Source organism: Homo sapiens, chromosome 6 (assembly GCF_000001405.40).
Source record: "Homo sapiens chromosome 6, GRCh38.p14 Primary Assembly".
NCBI classification, from domain to species: Eukaryota; Metazoa; Chordata; class Mammalia; order Primates; family Hominidae; genus Homo; species Homo sapiens.
This window is the reverse complement of record NC_000006.12, coordinates 70,486,528-70,510,652: the sequence shown is the minus strand read 5'-3', so window position 1 is coordinate 70,510,652 and position 24,125 is coordinate 70,486,528. Positions and strand designations below refer to the sequence as shown.

General features: G+C 34.7%; 1 protein-coding gene across 57 annotated transcripts in view; it reads right to left on the bottom strand.

Moving 5' to 3' along the window:
• Window positions 1-24,125, bottom strand: part of FAM135A (family with sequence similarity 135 member A) — a 147,667-nt gene that overhangs the window by 50,522 nt on the left and 73,020 nt on the right. For 53 of the 57 annotated variants that reach the window (XM_047419158.1, XM_047419165.1, XM_047419169.1 and 50 more), the window contains 2 exons: window positions 19,570-19,619; window positions 7,862-8,017 (listed from right to left, as the gene is read on the bottom strand). In XM_047419158.1, the coding sequence (XP_047275114.1) occupies window positions 7,862-8,017; window positions 19,570-19,619 (206 nt within the window). Of the gene's footprint in view, window positions 1-1,036; window positions 1,217-4,691; window positions 8,018-19,569; window positions 19,620-20,286; window positions 21,465-24,125 lie in introns of those variants that run through there. The other 4 variants (NM_001438522.1, NM_001438524.1, NM_001438523.1 and 1 more) reach the window with 3 other exon arrangements.

The following is a 24,125-nucleotide window of genomic DNA, read 5'->3' as shown; positions in this document are numbered from 1 at the left end:
AATAATGTAGTATATCCATACAATGGAATTCTGCTACAAAAATAAATCATTATATGGATACATGTAAAACATGGGTGAAACTTGGTACATTATTCTAAGTGAAAGAAACCAGATACAAAATGTTGTATGATTACATTTATATGAAACTTCCAAGATCAGTAAATGAGACTAGCGGTTGCCAGGGAATGGGGAAAGGGGACATGGGAGTGATTCCTTAATGTGTACACGGTTTCCTTTCAGAGTGATGAAAATGTCTTGGAATAAGACAGAGGTGATGGTTACACAACACTGTGACTATATTAAATGCCACTGAATTGTATACATTAAAATTGTTAATGGTTAATTTGCATTACATAAAATCTGTTACCCTCAAAATTTGTTATCCCCACCCGCCCCCCAACAAAATTAAATCTTAGGAAACAGTTACCTATATATATCATGTTACATAACATCTATGCCTTTGAATCTTCTACTTCGGTGGTGCTGTCAATAAACGTTTTGATTTCCTAGCTATTAGACCAACGGCAGCATACTTAGTGTTCTACAGTATTTTTTTATGATTAATTCCAGTGAATGCAGCAAATGGCATGTTCTCTTTAAATTCAACTGGAAAAAAAATCCAAAACTATATTTTATACCACCAAGTTGACACTGAAAACTATGTTTGAGATTGTATTTCTTTTTGCTTGTAAAATATAAACAGTATAGCAAACCAGCGTCATAATAAACGGTATTCTAATGTTATAAGTTTGTACTACTATTTTGTTTGAAGTCTTAATTTACTTCGTTTTTAATACTTTGCAAATTCATGGGAAAGAGATGAAATGTGGAAATATCAGGTCTGCATCTACTGCCTGGGTTCCCATCCAGTCACTACCATGTACAAGATATGCAACTTTGGCTAAGTTATTTCACCTTTCTAGAACCTCAATATTTCTTTTATAAAATGGGAATGACAAAATATTTACTTCATGAGATTGTACTGATGATTAAATGAGTTAACATTTATAAAGCAATTAGTGCCTTACACAGATAATAACTGCTATACACGTTTATTAAGTAAAAATATAAATAAATTACTATGGTCCTTCCATAAACATTCTGTGGGAAAAACAAACAAAACCAAGAGCACAATATAGTCTATCCATCTATGAAGGTCTCCTTTCAATTTTTAGATGAATCCTTGGGCTTACAGGCAGTGGTCCTGGAAGAATCACTGTAATTTCAATAAAGCATTAGTAACAAACCTGTTGCTATGAAATCAAAAACATAAACAGGCAACTACAAGGTGAGAGAGATGTTAGTCAAAGAATAAAAGAGGCTAACCTCATAGAAGCAGAGTTCCATTTTATAGTTCAAGGAAAGACATAATTTTTTTTTTAATAGAGACAAGATCTCACTATGTTGCCCAGGCTGGTTGTAAACTCCCAGCCTCAAGTGATCCTCCCACCTCCACCTTCCACAGTGCTGGGATTACAAGTGTGAGCCACTGTGCCCAGCCAGGAAAGACATGTTAATGTGATGAATTTAAATGAGCAATATTACAGAATACTAAGTAACTGAATAGCAGAGTCACCATATCAACTTGGATTTTTTTTGCTCTAGGTTAGAACCATAAATAACAGTGCACGCATTTTAAGTAAAGCCATATGTTTCCAAAAGGCCCTGCTTCCACACAAGAATAAGCTTAAAATTTGTTTTCTTCTTGAGCAAGGAATTCTTTTCCGTATCTAAGATATATTAATACTTCACATACAGAAATATGTAAAACACAATTAAACCTTTTGATGCTTTAGTATGCTATTTGATAGGGTTGCACCAGATATACTTATATTGAAATATCATTTGCTGTTTACCTGAAATCCAAATTTAACTGGGCATTCTGCATTTCATCTGGCAACCCTATGTATTTGGCTTCAGGATCTTTATTTATAAATATTTTGTATGATAGAACTAAAGATTTATACAAGCTGATGTAACCATCATGTCTCTGAAAGAATGTGAACTCAACTGTTACTTTGTCTGACTCCACTAACCCTAACAAAAGCTTGGTTAGGGCAGCAATGCTAGCACAAAGCACAAAATCTGGCTCTCTGATCTGCAAACTGAATATATTATCTCCCTAATATTGGACTTATAATTCCAGACACAAGTTACAATCAATATTAAATATGGCATCTCTGATGTTATAATAGGAAGCATTATAACACAACAAGAGGTATCTTTGGAAGCACTAGCAATAAAGATCAGTAAAATTATTGAGGAAATAAACTGCAATGAAAGCAAGTTCTCTATAAGACATACTGTTGAGAGACAATTCTTCATGTGTCTCTTGCATTTCTGAAAGGCTTGTGAGCAGAAATCCTGACTGTCTTTGTTACAGACTATCTTTTCAAGGATGCTCGTATTAGGGAAAAGCCTGGGGAAACAGAGATATGTCTCCCTTTGGAGCAAAGAACAGGTCCACTTACAGCATTGGTGGATAAAGCTTGCTGTGCATTATAAAATATTTTGGATCCCTAAGCACAGAGTTTTTCTCCTGTATTGCAATCCACTAGTATGAACCTCGCCTTTTTTATGTTGAGCTGTGGAAATCTAGGCTCAAGGAAAGAGAACAAATGATAATCCTACCATTAATAAGGTCCTTTGTCTCAAGTTTTCTGCTGCTATACATGAATCAATCTATGGTAGGCTAACTTGTTAGCATGTAATTAGGAGGGCAAAATCTCAAGATTCTTTACAGTTCTTGACACATAAAATTCAGGATGATTTCAGATTTTTTTTTGCTTTTTGTGTAAACTGTCCCACTTGATCATTCCATTTTAGTTTGAAATGACAAAGACATTATTCACTTATCATAAATATATTTTATCTTTTTAATTAGTATGGGTCACCTGTAACTATTCACACACAATAGTCTCTATGATGTAGCATGAATGTGTACGGCATGTGACTACAGAAGCTCAACAAGTTTGGATGCCTTAATTTGCCAAAAATTTGAAAACCTGAACTTACTGGATCTTAATATTAAATAATATAGTTGAACCAGTATAAAATTAATTTATTAAATTGTTCTTTTCAAGTATAGATTTACATTTCCTCTTTTTAGTCCAACTCTTTGCTTCACAATTTGCTTTCACACCAATAAGGAGAGATTTCATATCAGAGGTTTATTTCTGTGACTTTGCTCAATTGTGCTGCTTCTGAATTCGTTATCAGACAGCCTATATACTTTATTGTAGCTAAGTCTGTCCCTGTACAAACACTGAATGACCTTTAGACTACTTCAGTTCCTGTAGGCTTAGCACTGTATTCTCAGAAGAACAAGATATTTTATTAGCAAGGTTCCTCTTGAATTGCATAAATGGGAGCCAGATAACACAGTATGCTACCATGTCCACAGTTTTTGTGATACACTGCAGGGAAGGGCAAAGCTTATTCCTGCTTGAGTAACATTAGGACATTTTCTTATTTTGTCTTTATTATCCTTCCATGATTCATTTAGCAATTAAAATAGGCCCTATCTTGGTATCTGGAATGGGGTGAGAAAAGGGAAGCGCTAGGTAAAATTCCAAAGTTTATCTTTGGTATTCTAATTTTCCACAAACCTGATTTTTGTCTTAGTCCCCTTTCTTTGTCCCTTCTTCTCAAAGTTGTGTTCACCAGCTGCTCTTTTAAGTTTACCTTCTTGTTCCTAGTCCACCCAGAATAGCTTCCTTCCCATTGAATATCAAGCTATAAAGTTGCCTCTAATCCTTGCGACCATTCTCTTCCCAGAACTTCCATTCAGGTGACACAAACAGAACAATTTAATGGAACTATAATATTTTTCTCTAGTAAAACATAGTTTTTAAAAAAATACCCTGTCTGCTTGCGGGAACTAAATAAAAACATAAAAATTAAAAAAAAAAAAAGAAAAAACAAAATAAAAAAAAAAGAGAAAAAAATACCCTGAAGATTACCTTTCCCATGTAAAACTATTTCTTGCTACTGGCCTTTACTTCTACTGGTCACTAAAAATAACCTTCAAACAGACTTTTATTTTGTGGAAGAGGTATCAACTCTCCTCTTAGCTTTATAATGTAGGCGTTGGCAAACTACAGCCTGAGAACCAAATCTGGCCCAACACCTGTTTTTGTAAATAAAACTTTATTGAAACACAGCCACATTCACTTATTCATATACCATCCATGGCTGCTTTCATGTTATAACAGAGTTGAGTAGTTTAGACAAAGATGTGTGGCTCCCAAAGTCCAAAATGTTTACCATTTGGTCCTTAACAGAAAAAGTTGATTCTTGTTTTACAGCATAGAAAATTGGGTCGCTGGTTGTGTATTCTGACATACTTTTCAAGAAAACTTTGCCTGAGTTATTGGTATGCATTCACCTCACCTCTTTATAGAGGTGGACTGCCTTTCAAGTCTTGTCAGAGTCCTAAATTTCCAAAAAAAGAATGTCAGTGAGATCCTTTAATGCTTATCAACATCACTTTAATTTACCCTGAAAACTGGCTACCTTTCTGATACTATTACCACAATTCATTGTTGTTCAAAATCTTGGTAGTGAGAAATGATGTTCCTGAAAATTGCGGAAAAAAATATATTCCATTCATTATGCTATTCATTCTAAATTGCTACATTAAGATGATGCCAGACCATTAGTAAGTTGAATACAGTGATTATGCTATTTTATCCATTGTAGAATCCTTTTTATTTAGCCCTTTAAAGAAGGTGATTGACCTTTAATAAAGAAATTCTAAGAAAAAGTCCTATAAAACAACAGTATTTGATACATGGATCCTGTTTACTACAATATAGCAAAAATAATGAAACAAAACAAAACACACAAGGAGAAAATTAACACCACCAAAAATTGCTTTTTCGAAAAGACAAATAAAATAACAAACTTCTGGTGAGACAATTCAAGAAAAAAAGAGTGAAGGCACAAACAACTAGAAACTAGAATAAAATCAGGAATGAAACTAGAAAACATTAAATATTGTAGATATTAAAAAGATAATTGAAGGATACTATGAACTACTTGATTATAAATTTAAAAACTCAAAATGGGCAAACTCCTCCAAAAATATAATTTACCAAAACTGATTGAAAAAAAAATGTAGTATCCCCCCAATACTGTGTCATCTTAATCTAATCACCGGGAAATATAATACAAACCCAAACTGAAGAATAGTTCACAAACTTACTGGCCAATACTCTTCAAAAAAATCAAGGTCACGCAAAGATAAGGAATTAGTCCAGATTAAATGAGTAAAGGAACATGAAAACTGAATTCAATGTGTTCCTGAATTTGATCTTGGAAAAAGCTGTTATGCAAAACATTAGTAAGATGATTGGCAAAACTTAAATATGGGCCATACATTAAATATCAATATTGTGTCAATATAAAATTTTCTAAAGAAGATCAGTGTATTGGTTAACCTAAGAGAATGTCCATATTCTTAGAATATATATGCTGAAGTATTTAATGATAAAAGAATACTATGTCTATAATTATCATATTGTTCAGGAAAAACAATGTATGTAAGTATATATGTATGCATATATATATATATATATGTGTATCTACCTACAAAAAACAGGCAATGATAAAGCAAATGTACCAAAATGCTAATTTGTGATTCTGATGAAAATTATATAGAAGTACTCTGCACTACCTTTTTTTTTTTTTTGAGATGGAGTTTGACTCTTGTTGCCCAGGCTGGAGTGCAGTGGTGTGATCTCAGCTCACTGCAACCTCCACCTCTACCACCTGCCTCAGCCTCCCAAGTAGCTGGGATTACAGGTACTCGCCACCACGCCTGGATAATTTTTGTATTTTTAGTAGAGATGGGGTTTCACTATGTTGGCCAGGCTGGTCTTGAACTCCTGACCTCAGGTGATCCACCTGCCTTGGCCTCCCAAAGTGCTGGGACAGTGTGAGCCACTGCTCCTGGCCAACTTTTTAAAGTCTTCTGTAAGTTTCTGATTATACTTTAGAAGCTTTACAGTTTTGCCTTTCACATTTAAATCTTCAATCCACTTGGAACTGAATTTTATTTAATACTTACCATATGGATACCCAATTGTCTCAAACATCATTTATTGAAAAATCTCCATCTTTTACACCGATCCACATATGTTATGTCCAAAAATGGCTATGTCCATGTCTGGCCTTTCTCTTAGTTTCCTTCTATTCTAAAATTAAGACCTCCAGTTCATTAAAAAACAATATAAAGTCAATGAAAATAATAAACCATGAAATGAGAGAGGATCTATTAGTAAAAACACATAACAAAGGACACAGAAAAGTATCAGAAATAAAGAAGAAAAAAGTTATCTTATTAGAAATGGGCAAAACATTAGAATAGGCACTTCATATGGAGCAAACCTACATAACCAATAATCACACAAAGCAGTGCTCAACTGCATGGGTAATCAGAGAAATGCAAATTAAAGCCACAATAATATACCATTTCGCATCCATCAGTTTGGCAAAGTTTAAAAAGCTTGCCAGTATCAAGAGTTGGAGAGTGTGTGGAGTAACAAACTGTGCTGGTGGGAGTAAAAATTGGTACAACTCTGAAAACTGTCACATTAGCTAGTAAAATTGAAGTTATGCATAACCTATGACTCAGCAATTTGCCTCACAGGTAAGTATTTCAGAGAAACTGGTATGCCAGGACATATACATAAGAATGTTCATAGCAGCTTGGTTTGTAATAGCCACAAGTTAGAAGTAATCCAAGAATCTATCAACAGTAGAATGGATAAATAAATGTGGGTATATTCAAATGGAGATATATTACAGCAATGATAATGAACAATCTACAGGTACTGTCAAAAAAGATGGATTAATATCCTAATGTCTTGAGTGAAAAAGCAAGATAGAGAAGAATACTACTGTACAATTTCATCTATATAGAATTCAATAACAGGTGGAAACAACCTCTATTTAGTGTGCATACATAGGTGATAAAACTAAAATGGAAGGAACTCATCATCACAAAAGACAGTATAGTGATTACTTCTAAGTATTAGGAAGGGTATGGTAATTGGAAAAGATACAGAGAGAACATCTGTAGCATTGAGAGTGTTCTACTTCTTGATCTGGATAATAACTGAAAGGGTGTATGCTTTAATTATTTGATAAAATGTGCCTGTTTTATGCATTTTCTGACTTTATGTGTTATGTTTTATAATTAAAAAATTTTTTTAAAAAAGGAAAAAAATTAATGATGTTTGGAGGAACTCCTAGTACGTAAAGTAAAATCAGGGTGCATGCAGAGTATATAAGGAAACAAGATGGAAAGATAGTTATTTAACACGTAAAACCTCTTGAGATGCTATACAATAAAATTACATAGAAATACCTGCATAATGTCCATACTAGGTCTACAGTAAACATATATGTGTAATGTGTGGACTGCCCCCTCCATCCTGCTAAGTTAATAATACACATTCCTATATTAGGTCAGTGGTAGAAGAAGGGAAGGAAAAGGAGAAGAGGGAGATATAAGTTTGAGACAGCTCTCTAGTTCCTGATTCCTGTCCCTAATGAGGCTTGGCTATTAATTCCTATTCTTAGGTTCCTATTCTATTCTGTATCATATATTTTCCTATTTTACTTACTTTTAGGTGGTTTTTCTTAGCAGCAGGGATTGTGATTGAAATAGGTCATATGCTTAACTGTATTGTTCTATTCTATTATTAATTTTGGAAGTCAAACAATAACAATATGACAAATGTCTCTTTTCTGATTTATCAATATATAGGTAAAAATCAGGTTTGTTTTCATAAAAATTTTCTAAAGGTAAATAATACTCATTAAAATGCTCTAAAATCACTTCTCTTTAACTTACCCTCAAAGTATGGTGCTCTTGTGCTAATAATATTCTTAGTTCTTCGTGTAGCGTTATAACTTCCAGAAACTGTCCCCATAAAGCCATCAAAAGTGAGCAAAGTTGCGCAAGATTCATATTTATAAGTTCTGCCAGTTCATCAGGATTCTCTATTTTCTGAAATGAAAAGAAAAAAAATTTCACTATTTCCCAAGATTTAATGTAACATACTTAAATATAATGTTATTGAGAATATTAATACAAAGGCAAATTTGTGGTTTAAAAAAAGAGATGTGCATTTGTATGTGCATGCACATGTGTAGAGACAAAGACCAATTAACAATGGTTTTTTACTTACCTGATAGTTACTGAAAGAATTTTCAACAACTTAACCAATATTTCAATATCTAAGATGTCTTGTTAACTGAAATAATGTCAATTGCAAACTAAAATTACAAATTAGGATGCTATAGAGAATGATCAGCTTCTAACACCAAAATACTGGGAATTTTAAACACAGTGCTCAAATAATGAGAGTTATAATTGTTTTGAAAGATAATAAATTCTTCAGATTTTTTCCCCAATTAGCTAAGAAAAAATACTTAAAATATCTATGACTCCTTAGAAAAAATTGTGATACTTTCTGAAATAGTCCTTTTCTCTCACTCCTATGTTCTTAGATTCTACTTCACTTGTGAGTAATCCTTTTACAGAATTGTCACTTTATTTTTTTCATTTCTAACAATTCACTCACTTGCTATTTATTGAACACATTTTAAATGCTAATGGCCTAGATTCTAGAGATACAAAAATTAATATGAGAAGTTCACAGTCTAGTGAGGGGAGAAAAGCAGGTAAACAAACTATTATAAAATACTGTTATTAGGACATGATCCAAAGATGGCCGAATAGGAACAGCTCTGGTCTGCAGCTCCCAGTGACACCATCGCAGAAGGTGGGTGATTTCTGCATTTCCAACTGAGGTACCCAGTTCATCACATTGGCACTGGTTAGGCAGTGAGTCCAACCCACGGAGGGTGAGTAGAAGCAGGGTGGGGCGTTACGAGAAGCCAGGGGACCTCCCTCCCCAAGCCAAGCAAAGCCATGAGGGCTGTGCTACCCGGTCAGATCACTATGCTTTCCCCACAGTTTTTGCAATCTGCAGATCAGGAGGTTCCCTCATGTGCCTGTACCACCAGGACCTTGGGTTACAAGCACAAAACTGGGCAGCTGTTTGGGCAGACACTGAGCTAGCTGCAGGAGTTTTTTTCATAACCCAGTGGTGCCTGGAACCCCAGCGAGACAGAACCGTTCACTCCCCTGCAAAGGAGGCTGAAGCCAGGGAGCCAGGTGGTCTCTCTCAGCGGGTCCCTCTCCCACGGAGCCCAGCAAGCTAGGAATCACTGGCTTGAAATTCTCGCTGCCAGCACAGCAGTCTGAAGCCGACTGGGGAAGATCAAGCTTGGTAGGGGAGGGGTGTCTGCCATTACTGAGGCTTTAGTAGGTGGTTTTCCACTGACAGTGCTAAGGAGGCTGGAAGGTTTAGACTGGGCAGAACTCACCACAGCGCACCAAAGCAGCTGTGGCCAGACTGCTTCTCTAGATTCCTCCTCACTGGGAAGGGCATCACTGAAGGAAGGGTAACAGCCCCAGTCAGGGGCTTACAGATAAACTCCCATCTCCCTGGGACAGAGCCCCTCGGGGAAGGGGCAGCTGTGGGTGCAGCTTCAGCAGATTTAATCATTCCTGCCTGCTGGCTCTAAAGAGAGCAGCTGATCCTGACAAAAGGGATTCTCTGAGCACAGTGCACCAGCTCTGCTAAGGGACAGACTGCCTCCTCAAGTGGGTCCCTGACCCCCGTGCCTTCTGACTGGGACAGAACTCCCAACAGGGGTCGACAGACAACTCATACAAGAGAGCTCCAGGTGGTATCAGGATGGTGCCCCTCTGGGATGAAGCTACCAGAGGAAGGAGCAGGCAGCCATCTTTGCTGTTGTGCAGCCTCCACTGGTGATACCCAGGCAAACAGGGCCTGGAGTGGACCTCCAATAAACTGCAACAGACCTGCAGCAGAGGGGCCTTACTGTTAGAAGAAAAACTAACAAACAGAAAACAAAAACATCGACATCAACAAAAAGGACCCCCACACAAAAACGCCATCCAAAGGCCATCAGCCTCAAAGATTAAAGGTAGATAAATCCATGAAGATGAGGAAAAACCAGTGCAAAAGTGCTGAAAATTCCAAAAACCAAAATGCCTCTTCTCCAAATGATTGCAACTCCTCTCCAGCAAGGACACAAAACTGGACGGAGAGTGAGACTGACGAATTGACAGAAGGAGGCTTCAGAAGGTGGGTAATAACAAACTCCTCTGAGCTAAAGGAGCATGTCCTAACCCAATGCAAGGAAGCTAAGAACCTTGATAAAAGGTTACAGGAACTGCTAACAAGAATAACCAGTTTAGAGAGGAACATAAATGACCCAATGGAGTTGAAAAAACAACACGAGAACTTCATGAAGCATACACAAATATCAATAGCCAAATCGATGAAGCTGAAGAAAGGATATCAGAGACTGAAGATCAACTTACTGAAATAAGGCATGAAGACAAGATTAGACAAAAAAGAATTGAAAAAGGAATGAACAAAGCCTCCAAAAAATGTGGGACTATGTGAAAAGACCAAACCTACGATTGATTGGTGTACCCAAAAGTGACAGGGAGAATGGAACCAAAATGGAAAACACACTTCAGGATTTTATCCAGGAGAACTTCCCCTAACCTAGCATGACAGGCCAACATTCAAACTCAGGAAATACAGAGAACAGCACTAAAATACTCCTTGGGAAGAGCAACCCCAAGAACACATAATCTTCAGATTCTCCAAGGTTGAAATGAAGGAAAAAATGGTAAGGGAAGCCAGAGAGAAAGGTCAGGTTACCTACAAAGGGAAGCCCAGCAGAATAATAGCACAGCTCTCTGCAGAAATCCTACAAGCCAGAAGAGAGTGGGGGCCAATATTCAACATTCTCAAAAGAAAAGCATTTTCAACCCAGAATTTCATATCCAACCAAAAAGCTTCATAAGTGAAGGAGAAATAAAATCCTTTACAGACAAGGAAATGCTGAGGGATTTTGTCACCAGGACTGCCTCACAAGAGCTCCTGAAGGAAGCAATAAATATGTAAAGGAAAACCGGTACCAGCCACTGTAAAAACACACCAAAATATAAAGACCAATGACACTATGAAGAAACAGCATTGACTAATGGGCAAAATAACCAGCTAGTATCATGATGACAAGATCAAATTAATAGATAACAATATTAACCTTAAATGTAAATAGACTAAATGCCCCAATTAAAAACACAGACTGGCAAATTGGATAAAGAGTCAAGACCCATTGGTGTGCTGTATTCAAGAGACCCATCTCATGTGCAAAGACACATATAGGCTCAAAATAAAGGGATGGAGGAATATTTACCAAGCAAGTGGAAAACAAACAAACAAACAAACAGCAGGGGATGAAATCCTAGTCTGATAAAACAGACTGTAAACCAACAAACATAAAAAAAGACAAAGAGGGTCATTACATAATGGTAAAGGGATCAATTCAACAAGAAGAGCTAACTATCCTAAATATATATGCACCAATACAGGAGAACCCAGATTCATAAAGCAAGTTATTAGAGACCTACAAAGAGACTTAGACTCCCACACAATAATAGTAGGAGTCTTTAAAACCCCACTGTCAATATTAGACAGATCAATGAGACAGGCAATTAACAAGGATATTCAGGACTTGAATTCAGCTCTGGATCAAGTGGACCTAATAGACATCTACAGAACTCTTCACCCCAAATCAACAGAATATACATTCTTCTCAGTGCCACATAGCACTTATTCTAAAATCGATTACATAATTGGAAGTAAAAAATCCTCAGCAAATGCAAAAGAATGGAAATCATAATAAACAGTCTCTCAGACCACAGTGCAATCAAATTAGAACTCAGGATTAAGAAACTCACTCAAAGCTGCAGAACTACGTGGAAACTGAACAACCTGCTCCTGAATAACTACTGGGTAAACAACGAAATTAAGGCAGAAATAAAGAAGTTCTTTGAAACCAATGAGAACAAAGAGACAATGTACCAGAATCTCTGGGACACAGCTAAAGCAGTGTTAACAGGGAAATTTACAGCATTAAATGCCCACATCAGAAAGCTGAAAAGATCTAAAATGGACACTGTAACATCACAATTAAAAGAATTATAGAAGCAAGAACAAACAAATTCAAAAGCTAGCAGAAGACAAGAAATAACTAAAATCAGACCAGAACTGAAGGAGATAGAGACACGAAAAACCTTTAAGAAAATCAATGAATCCAGGAGCTGGTTTTTTTGAAAAGATTAACAAAATAGGTAGACCACTAGCGAGACTAATAAAGAAGAAAAGAGAGAAGAATCAAATAGACACAATAAAAAATGATAAAAGGGATATCACCACTGACCCTACAGAAATACAAACTACCATCAGAGAATACTATCAACACCTCTACACAAACAAACTAGAAAATCTGGAAGAAATGGATAAATTCCTGGACACATACAGCCTCCCAAGAGAAAACCAGGAAGATATCGAATCCCTGAATAGGCCAATAACAAGGTCTGAAATTGAGGCAGTAATTTACAGCCTACCAACCAAAAAAAGCCCAGGACCAGACAGATTCACAGCCGAATTCTACTAGAGGTACAAAGAGGGGCTAGTACCATTCCTTCTGAAACTATTCCAAACAATGGAAAAGTAGGGACTCCTGCCTAACTCATTTTATGAGGCCAGCATCATCCTGATACCAAAACCTGGCAGAGACATAACAAAAAAAGAAAATTTCAAGTCAATATCTCTGATGAACATCAATGAGAAAATCCTCAATAAAATACTGGCAAACCTAATCCAGCAGCACATCAAAAAGATTATCCACCATGATCAAGTAGGCTTCATCCCTGAGATGCAAGGCTGGTTCAACATATGCAAATCAATAAATGTAATCCATAAGCCACATGATTATCTCAATAGATGCAGAAAAGGCCTTTGACAAAATTTAACATCCCTTCATGTTAAGAACTCTCAATAAAGTAGGTATTGATGGAACGTATCTCAAAATAATAAGAGCTATTTATGACAAACCCACAGCCAATATCATACTGAATGGGCAAAAGCTGGAAGCATTCCCTTTGAAAACTGGCACAAGACAAGGATGCCCTCTCTCACCCCTCCTATTCAACATAGTATTGGAAGTACTGGCCAGGGCAATCTGGCAAGAGAAAGAAATAAAACGTATTCAAATAGGAAGAGAGGAAGTCAAACTGTCCCTGTTTGCAGATGACATGATTGTCTATTTAGAAAACCCCATCGTCTCAGCCCAAAATCTCCTTAAGCTGATAAGCAACTTCAGCAAAGTCTCAGGATACAAACTCAATGTGGAAATATCACAAGCATTCCTATACACCAATAATAGACAGAGAGCCAAATCATGAGTGAATTCCCATTCACAATTGCTACGAAGAAAATAAAAAACCTAGGAATCCAAATTGCAAGGGATGTGAAGGACCTCTTCAAGGAGAAATACAAACCACTGCTCAAGGAAATAAGAGAGGACACAAACAAATGGAAAAACATTCCATGCTCATGGATAGGAAGAATCAATATTCTATCTATACTGACCAAAGTAATTTATAGATTCAATGCTATCCCCATCAAGATACTATTGACTTTCTTCACAGAATTAGAAAAAACTACTTTAAATTTCATATGGAACCAAAAAAGAGACCGTATAGCCAAGACAATCCTAAGCAAAAAGAACAAAGCTGGAGGCATAACGCTACCAGACTTCAAACTACACTGCAAGGCTACAGTAACCAAAACAGCATAGTACTGGTACCAAAACAGATACATAGACCAATGGAACAGAACAGAGGCCTCAGAAATATCACCACACATCTACAACCATCTGATCTTTGACAAATCTGACCAAAAAAAAAAAAATGGGGAAAGGATTCCCTATTTAATAAATGGTGCTGGGAAAACTGGCTAGCCATATGCAGAAAACTGAAACTGGACCCCTTCCTTACACCTTATACAAAATTAACTCAGGATGGATTAAAGACTTAGATGTAAGAACTAAAACCATACAAACTCTACAAGAAAACCTAGGCAATGCCATTCAGGACACGGGCATGATGGGCAAAGACTTCATGACTAAAACACCAAAAGCAATGGGAACAAAAGCCAAAATTGACAAATGGGATCTAATTAAACTAAAGAGCTTCTGCACAGCAGAACAAACTCATCAGAGTGAACAGGCAACCTACAGAATGGGAGAAAATTTTTGCAATCTATCCATCTGACAAAGGGCTAATATCTAGAATCTACAAGGAACTTAAACAAATTTACCAGAAAAAAACAACCCCATTGAAAAGTGGACGAAGGATATGAACAGACACATCTCAAAAGAAGACATTTATGTGGCCAACAAACATATGAAAAAAAGCTTATCATCACTGGTCACTAGAGAAATGTAAATCAAAACCACAATGAGATAGACTGTGGCAATTCCTTAAGGATCTAGAACCAGAAATACCACTTGACCCAGCAATTCCATTACTGGGTTTATACCCAAAGGATTATAAATCATGCTACTATAAAGATACATGCACACGTATGTTTATTGCAGCACTATTCACAACAGTAAAGACTTGGAACCAACCCAAATGCCCATCAACAATAGACTAGGTAAAGAAAATGTGGCACATATACACCATGGAATACTATGCAGCCATAAAAAAGGACAAGTTCATGTCCTTTGCAGGGACATGGATGAAGCTGGAAACCATCATTCTCAGCAAACTAACACAGGAACAGAAAACCAAACACCGCATGTTCTCACTCATAAGTGGGAGTTGAACAATGAGAACACATGGACACAGGACGGGGAACATCACACACCAGGGCCTGTCAGGGGGTGAGGGGCTAGGGGAAGGATAGCATTATGAAAAATACCTAATGTAGACGACAGGTTGATGGGTGCAGCAAACCACCATGGCACGTGTACACCTATGTAACAAACCTGCAAGTTCTGAACATGTATCCCATAACTTGAAGTATAATAAAAATAAAAAATAAAATAAAATATATTTCTGTGTATGTGTATGTGTGTGTGTATCCCCAAAGGCTGCTTATCACATATGATACTGTTACTCTCAGTTTATTTTTATTTCTTTTTAAATACTGCAATTCAGCAGGCTTTTCTTCCCCAACTCACACTTTCATTTACCTTGCCTAACTCAGAGAAGACGCTAAACAAAAATTAAACAAAATTAGTAAGAAGGGGAGGAATTATGATCATGTCCTATTCGCTTTTGTGACTCTAATTACTGGTACATAGTAGTAATTCAATAAATAGTTACTAAGTGAATAAATGAGTGAATGAGAAGTACAGTCTTCAGATAAGAAAAAAACCTTCCAGAATTCACAACAAACATTTACATGTTTACAGAATTTATGGAAAGTGTTTACATTTTTATGAAAAAGAGCTCCCATAATTTATGGAAAAGGTTTATAAATACCAGAAGCTGGAATGGAAGCTAACAGTCAAGACATAATGAATAAATATTCATCGACATATGATGAATTTCCTGCTGTGTTTTTTTCCCAAGAGATGGTTTTATAAATGTAGCAGAAATGAAGCTAACAAGTTTTTCATGTCTCTTTTAAGAATATGGACTTTAAAATATAAGCTGACATAAGCTGAAACTTGCATTATTATTGTCCCCAAGGAGGGTTTTAATGGAGTTTAGAAAAAGAAGAGTTGGGTAAGTATTTGAGAGTAATTAAATAGCACTGTATAAGATATGAACACTTTACTTAGCATAGTCTATACAAAAGTAGAAACAATTCTCTGGCCTTTAACCCAGGCTAATAAATAAATAAATAAAGTACACAACTCTCTTTTTATTCTTCCTGAAAGCAAGGTTATCTAGATTCCTAGTACTTATTAATTTTATTCCCTAGGGATCATGATACCGCAGTTCTGAAAGAGAAAACTTCAGTACTCTCATTGTTGGAAAAGCATCCTTGAAGCACAGATAAACTATTTCTCTGGTTTTCATAAATCTCATGTAATAAATACCAAAATAAATAATAATATAATTCTTTTTTATATTAAAAAAGGAAATTAGAATTAAGTTTGGCAAGATCTCTTATATATATAAATGTAGGAATAAGACTTTACATTTGTGTATTTTTCTTTTCTTTTTTTAAACTTGAGACAAGGTTTCATTACTTGGCCCAGGCTGGAGTGCAGTGGCCATTCAAAGGTATGAATACAGTCTCATTTCCTGGACTCAGGCAGTACTCCCACCTCAGTCTCCTGAGTAGCTGGGACTACAATTGTGTGCCACTGTGTCTGGCTATATTTGTGTTTTTTTCAAATCACATTATCTTATATATATATTTTCCCATAACATTCACTGATCTTGTTTGATTGCAAAATGCTGCTTTACTTAGAAAATATGGGAAAACAAAAAAAGATGAAAAAAGTTCATTTTAGTGTACCGGCTTCAAGTTTTTTTCAATTATATACATAAAGCAAAAACTAAAACAATATATAGTTTCATACAATTTTCACTGAATATAATACAGTATGAACATTTTCCTACTTCATCAAACACTTGTTTAAAACATCTTTTTTTTTTTTTTTTTTTTTGAGACAGAGTCTCACTCTGTCGCCCAGGCTGGAGTGCAATGGCGTGACCTTGGCTCACTGTAACCACTGCCTCCCGGGTTCAAGCAAATCTCCCTGACTCAGCCTCCCAAGTAGCTGGGATTGCAGGTGCCCGCCACCATGCCCGGCTAATTTTTGTATTTTTAGTAGAGATGTGGTTTCGCCATGTTGGCCAGACTGGTCTCCAACTCCTGACCTCAGGTGATCCGCCCGCTTCGGCTTCCCAAAGTGCTGGGATTACAGGCGTGAGCCACCGCACCCGGCCAAAAACATCATTTTTAAGGCTGTATAACTTAGATTACAAGTATCCCATAATTTGTTTAACTATTCTACCATTGGGCATTTATTAAACATTTTTACAATATTATGAATCTTCACATGAACTCTGTTTAGCTTTTGGTATACACTAAGAGGAGATATTTTTTCTGGCTGTGGATACGTACTGCCAAACTAATCCCTGAAAAAGACATACAAGGTATGAGAATTTGTATCTCACCATGTCTCAAGACGCATTATAATATGTTATAGGTTGTTGATGTTAAAGTTTATGACAACCATTTACATACTGAAATTTAAATATGTATATCTAAAAAATTTATTAGCAATACATGGATACATATGTTATTTTTAAACATTTAATATAGACGCATGTAAAGAAAATTCCCCTTTACAAACCTTATTCGTCACGCCACTTTTTTTCTGTATTACTGTTAAAAGCTTGGAATATATATATCCTTTCAAATATTTCATATGTAATCACATAAACACAATAAAATACACAAACAGCTTTTTAGTTTTAACATACTATATGAAATCATATTATTCATATTTTTCTTTATTTTTTTCAATTAATATATCTTGAAGAGTTTTCAGCACGCAAACAGTATCAAGCTTCATGGATTAATAAATATTTTCTGAATTAAATAATTCATGACAATTTCATAGAGATCCACCTAATGCTTTTAAATGGCTACATGGGAATTGATAATAATTAATGATGTAATTCCTTATATTTGTGTACATTTATGAGTATTTTTGTAGAACAGATTATCAAATAAAAACTGCTGTGCAGATTTGATAATTGTGCAATATATAAGTGTTTTAAAAATACATCAATGCACTAATGTTAAAAAATACTGTGCCAATTTATACCATCACCAACAGGGTATGCAGATACTAGTTTCACTACACTCTTACAAAAAATGAAGCTCAGTAGTCACTTTTATTCTTGCAAATTTCATAGGCAAAAAAAATAACCTATTAGAATCTGCATTCCCCTGGTTTCCAGTAAGAATGAGTATCATTTCAGGAGCTAAATTATTCTGCTAAGAATTTGTTATTTGTACACTGCCTCATTGTATCCTTTTTTTTTTTTTTTTACAAGGGTGTTGTTTTAAAATTGATACATGAGAGCATGTTATATATTGTGAGCACTGACCATTAGCCTGTTTTAAATATTGCAAATATTCTCTTCCAGTCTATCCTTTGCTTTCAAATTTATAGTATATTTTGTTACAAAGAAATTTCAAATCATCAATGTCTTATTTTGTCCCTTAGGTTTTTATTGGTCTTTAAAAAACTTATCTTTTTAAAAATTGTCTGAGGGAGTCATTTCATATCCCAAGATCAGATTGTTTATATTTACATATATATGTAATTTTTTTCTTCCTAATTTCTTTGGACACTTAAGTCTTCAGTCCACTTAGAACTGCTGCTATAGCATGGCATGACGTTAACTTTACCACAATATTTATAGACCCTGATGTTAATATTTTATCATATACTTAGTTATTAAACATAATAGTGACTATTTTAGGGCTGTTTAATTCCTCTGACTTGTCTTTTTATTCTTTTAGAGAAATCCTACCTTATTTCCTTTCATTTTTATTATTTTACATATATTTTAGTATCCAGTCGAGCAAGTCTTTCTACATTTGTATTATTTAAAAATTACATTATTTTAAAAAAAGTTTTTCTTAGCCATCTTTACATTTCTTGAAATGATTTTAAAAACAAGCTTAAATTTCCAGTGGGATTTTGGTTTGGACTCATTAAAATGATTGACTGGAGTAAAATTTGATATCTTTTAGTGATTATCTACAGGAGTATCATATGTATATTTATTCAAATTTTCTTTAATAGCTCAGTGAAACACTGCAGATGATTTCATATTAACTGCACACATCTTAAGATTATTTTTAAATGTTTAATGTTCTTTTGAGCAATTATCATAAGCACATTAGTGACTTTTTTAAAGAAAATATCTTACTTGAACTGCAGAGAAAACCTCTAGGACAGTATACAAAACTGATGTATCCTGCGTATGTATAATTTTCTAAGGAGAATACCTTTTTGAACAGGTCTAGTCTTCATTCAAATTTATATCCAAAAGTATATCCAAACCAAATACATATTTTTGTTTGATTCACACCTCTGATTTCTTCCATTAATGTAGCTGACCAAGAGTGAATGCATAGTGAAACATACATTTAAATAGTTAAAGCATTTAGTTTCTCAGAAAAAGAAAGGCAAATATATTCAATTTAATTGCAAGAGTGAACTGAAAAAATGATCTGAGAAGCAAATTGATCTACTGAAATAAAACAAATTTTTCATTTTTAAACAGTATCATTTTACAAGTTTAAGTGATGTTTTAAAAATGTGTCCAGAAATTGAGTGAGTGAACAGAAGAAAATGTACTGTTTGATCAGTTAATTATCTTTGCTATTTCATTTATATGAAGAATAATATACTTTTTAAAAGGTAAGTTAACTTCATGCTGAAGCCAAATGAATTTTGACCACCTAAGTTGTGGTTCTACCATGATCAACCATTTTATCTTTGCATTTTAGGAACTATAAATACTTTAAGTTTTCATAGACAAAATATTTAGAATAGGAAACAGAAACCACTCAAATAACTTGATGATGTGAATTTAAAAAATCCAAGTACCTTAACTTCTTCACATAGTTCAGTAAGTCGAGCTTCTACATCCATTTCCTCTGGAAGGAGTAAAGAGTAGAGGAAATATTCCAATGTTAGATATTTAATTTATATAAATAAAATTCCCATAAAAAACTGAAAATTAAGAATGATCTGGACTGTATTCAATGAATTAAATTTCAAGGTAACATATTTTCATAAACATATTAATTACATAGGTAATGTGATTATTAAATTCTACATTCTGATAAATATCATTTTTTATTTTTCACAAGAGTTAACACTGTCAAGGAAATATTAACTATATACATAAAGTAACTTGCACAACTGTGTCACAGAAAAGACCAACTATATAATTAGATTTTACTGTATTTCATATTTTATAATTTCCAGTACAGTTTAGTATTTTGTGTTATATATACATATGCCTTGCTTTCTTGTGTTTTACAAAAGCTATTCCTAAAATGCTCAAGTAAAATTAATTTTATCACTGAAACATTTAAAACATACCTGGTGTGTAGGCTATTTAATAAAAATGAATGTCAAGATCCTTTAATAGTTAGTTCCTAATGTATTTATTTTTCTATAAAATATTCTTAAACTGAGGCAGATATTTGCATAGAATTCTGATTTACTTAATGTATGCTATAATAATCTATAAAGAGGTGCACAAATTTACAATTAAAATGATAATATTTACCAGGAAAAACAGAAACTAACAAAATATAAAGATTTATAAATTATTTATTTTTGGCAGGGAGGAATTACACTAATGTCTGAAATATCTTTACATACACTTAATTTTTAAGTAGAAATCAAACAGGTCTTTTAAAAGAACTGTAACAGCATAGTTATAATCATACAAAATTCCCATAATCTTGTTGTGAAAGAGTTTAATTGATCTTTCTCACACAAAGGCAAGAACACATTCTATAACATCCCTGAATTCACTCATCAGCTGACTAATTTGTAAAACAGACTGAATGTTTACTACATGATAAAAATGATAAACATTTAAATTTGTTTAAAAAAGCAATCACAATTATGTGGTAAAAACACAACCACAGTATAATTGTTAGAGTGGGGAGACGGCCAGATACGAGCAGGCAAGGGAGCCTCTGGGCAAAGAAGTCCTGGAGATGTCGCCCACTGACAGCAAAAAGGACAACGGCTATATTGGTTATACCTGGCCTTGTGGTTGGGCTCCTGCGACCCTGAAGCATGTGCACTCCTCCAATAACTCACCCTAGAGTGGTCTTTTGCTCATTATAATAGTAAAAAACACATCCCTAGGTGGAGATTTTAAATGCTAACGAGACAAGCAACGTGTGTACTAGCATGTACAACTACAGAGCATGTATGCCCAAGGGGATCATCTAAAACATGATTGCAAGTGACACCTCCTCATGCCCTTTCATGAATAATCATGTATTCTTCATAGAGTTCCCCAGCACTGGCTGCTGCTAGCTCACTCTCTCCAGAAGCTTGCTCTGCTTTATCTTTCAGAGTATACTACTGTCTCTTTAAATAAATTCTGCTGCTTAACCCTTGCTGCGTGTCTCTTGGCTGAATTCTTCCTTCAACAAGAATCAAGGACGCTGTACCCCACCCGGTAACATAAACAACAAATACTCTGTTGTTAACTAAAAATCAATGGAACACATGTATTTCATAACTCACAAAATATACAAGTAAATTGTATTTAGATATTGATATATACCAAAAAATAGATCACTAATTTGGCCAACTTGTTGGTAACTAAAGAAATTTGCAATGATTTCACAAATCATTTCACTGTTAGATAAACCAGTGGCTTCTAATATTGGGCTTTCCAAAACTAAAAAACCAGCAACAGACTCTGCATTAAAACCACCATCTGTTTTCACATTACTCATGATCTTTTCCTGTGACAGAAAAAAAATCAGTAAAGTTAGTCTTAGAAATTACATATTCTACCTCTGATTTTTAAAAATTAGAAAATAAGGTTTTGAGAGTTGTGACACATTTTTCTAATGTTTACATAGAAGAACCTAACTGCATAAATGGGTATGTTTGCATTATAGCTACTGAGAGCTACTTCAATGCAAACAGTATCTTAAAGAATGTTTAAAAGCATAATTTAACTCTAAAATCTTAGAACTGAAAATAATTTTGAAATCACTTAGATTTTTAAGGGAGTTTAAAATCCTATTTTAATTATTTTTTCTTTTTAAAGTGACATATATAACAGACCCTTGAGCAACATAGGTTTGATCTACGCAGGTGCACTTATACACAAGTATTTTTCAATAAATATTTTGGAAAGAATATGAAACTTGCAAACTATGTAGCCTAGAAATATTGAAAAAATTAAGAAAGATGAATATGTCATGATTGCATAAAAACATGTAGATACTAGTCTTTTTATGTATTAATCAACTGTTTATGTTATCTGTAAGGCTTTCAGTGAATAGTAGGCCATTAGTTGGTAAGTACTAGAGGAGTCAAAAGTTACAGGTATATTTTTAACTGTACAGGGGTCAGTGCCCCAGTTCTGGTGTTATTCAAGGGTATACTGTATATCCATTTATACAGTTTTATAGAAATGTATAAATGTGATGATTATCATATATTTCTGGGGGGGGGGGCTTGGCTCTTATTACTAATCCAAGGTTACAGTCTAGAGCATATCCTTCCATATTTTTCAAATATACATATACACATATGAGTTTTGGAGTCACTGTTTTATAAAAATAGGATTGTATTTTGCACAATTTTTTGCATCTTGCTTTTTTTCTCTCAGCATTACCCCACAGTATTCTGGTACCTAGCACTAAAGCATTTTTTAAGATGACTACACAGTATTCCTTGATGTGGGTGCATCATGATATATTCTGTATTCCACTCTTTGCCCAAATAATGGGCATTGATCTTTGTTTATACTGTTTTGCCACTAAGAACAATACTGCAATAAACATGCTTGTACCTGTATCTTTACATACTACCTAGTATGCTATTTCTATGATACAGGTGAACAGAAGTGGGGATGCTAGGTCAAAGGGTACATGTATCTAACATTTATTTTCTAAATCTATCCATTCATTCAACAAATATTTATAACACAGCTCAGACAACGGCAATACAATGTTAGGTTTAAGGATAAAAGATATCTCAACAAAAGTGTTAACTAACTTCATTATGTTTTAGTTTTGAAAATTAAGTATTTTTCTACTCAACCAAGATCTGGCCCATTTTTAAAAAATAGATCTTATTACATTAAACTGCATTCTGTAAAATTATTTAGAATGCTCACATGTAAACTGATAGGCTGGCAATAAAATAGTTTAAATTAGAAGTATATTTTAATTGCTAAAAAATGCTAAAATGTCATAAATGGCCACAGTTTCATACTATGAATTCTTTAATTTTACAGTAACTTTATATGAGAATATAATACTATGTTCCAGAAAGAATGACAATAAATTTTCAACTCTTCTTTTTCCTTCCTGACAAGAAAATCAGTTTCCCTTAACAGTCTTAGTGAAAATTAACACAACTCAAATATTTCTGAGTTAGTTTTCACCTGAGAAATGTTGAGATAGATTTTGGCTTTTTAACTTCCTTCATTTCATACCTCTGAAAATTGGGAAATAAATACTTATTTTATTTCACTTTTTGATTCCTACAGCTTTTCATAATTTTTTAAAAAATTGTGATGGTTTACTGAACGCAAAGTGAAAACTTTTAATATACTCATAGATAATAAATTATGGCTATTCAAGAAAAGTCTAACATATATATGAAAATGTATAATAAAATAATGAGATCAGAACATTTCCTTTACCATGCATAACATATCCAGAGAGTGGTGATTTGATGTTATTTTGCTTTTTAAATGTAGAATAACAAAAAATAAATGCAAATTGACTAAAACAAACAAACAAACATACAACACAACCCAGATCCTGATAGGATATTTCTCTTCTCTATTTCTTTTTTTAAAGCTTTTTTTTTTTTTTTTTTTTTTTTTGAGATGGGAGTCCGACTCTCTTGCCCAGGCTGGAGTGCAGTGGCACGATCTTGGCTCACTGCAACCTTCACCTTCTGGGTTCAAGCAATTCTCCTGCCTCAGCCTCCCATCTCTTCTCTATTTCTGCAGTGCAGAAAACTAGGTTTAGTTTTTTTTGAGGCAGAGTTTCACTTTTGTTGCCTAGGCTGGAGTGCAATGGCACGATCTCGGCTCACTGCAATCTCCACTGCCCAGGTTTAAGCAATTCCCCTGCCTCAGCCTCCGAGTAGCTGGGATTACAGACATGCGCCACCACATCCGGCTAATTTTGTATTTTTAGTAGAGACGTGGTTTCATTATGTTGGTCAGGCTAGTCTCCAACTTCTGACCTCAGGTGATCTGCCCACCTTGGCCTCCCAAAGTGCTGGGATTACAGGCGTGAGTCACCGCACCCGGCCTGGTTTAGTTTTAAAATCACATTTCATTATCACTAGGCCTAGCCAAAGATAAAATAACTGAGCAAATTTAAGGCGATGTCATTAAACCAACAAATTGTAGTAATAATCATGGTTTTGAA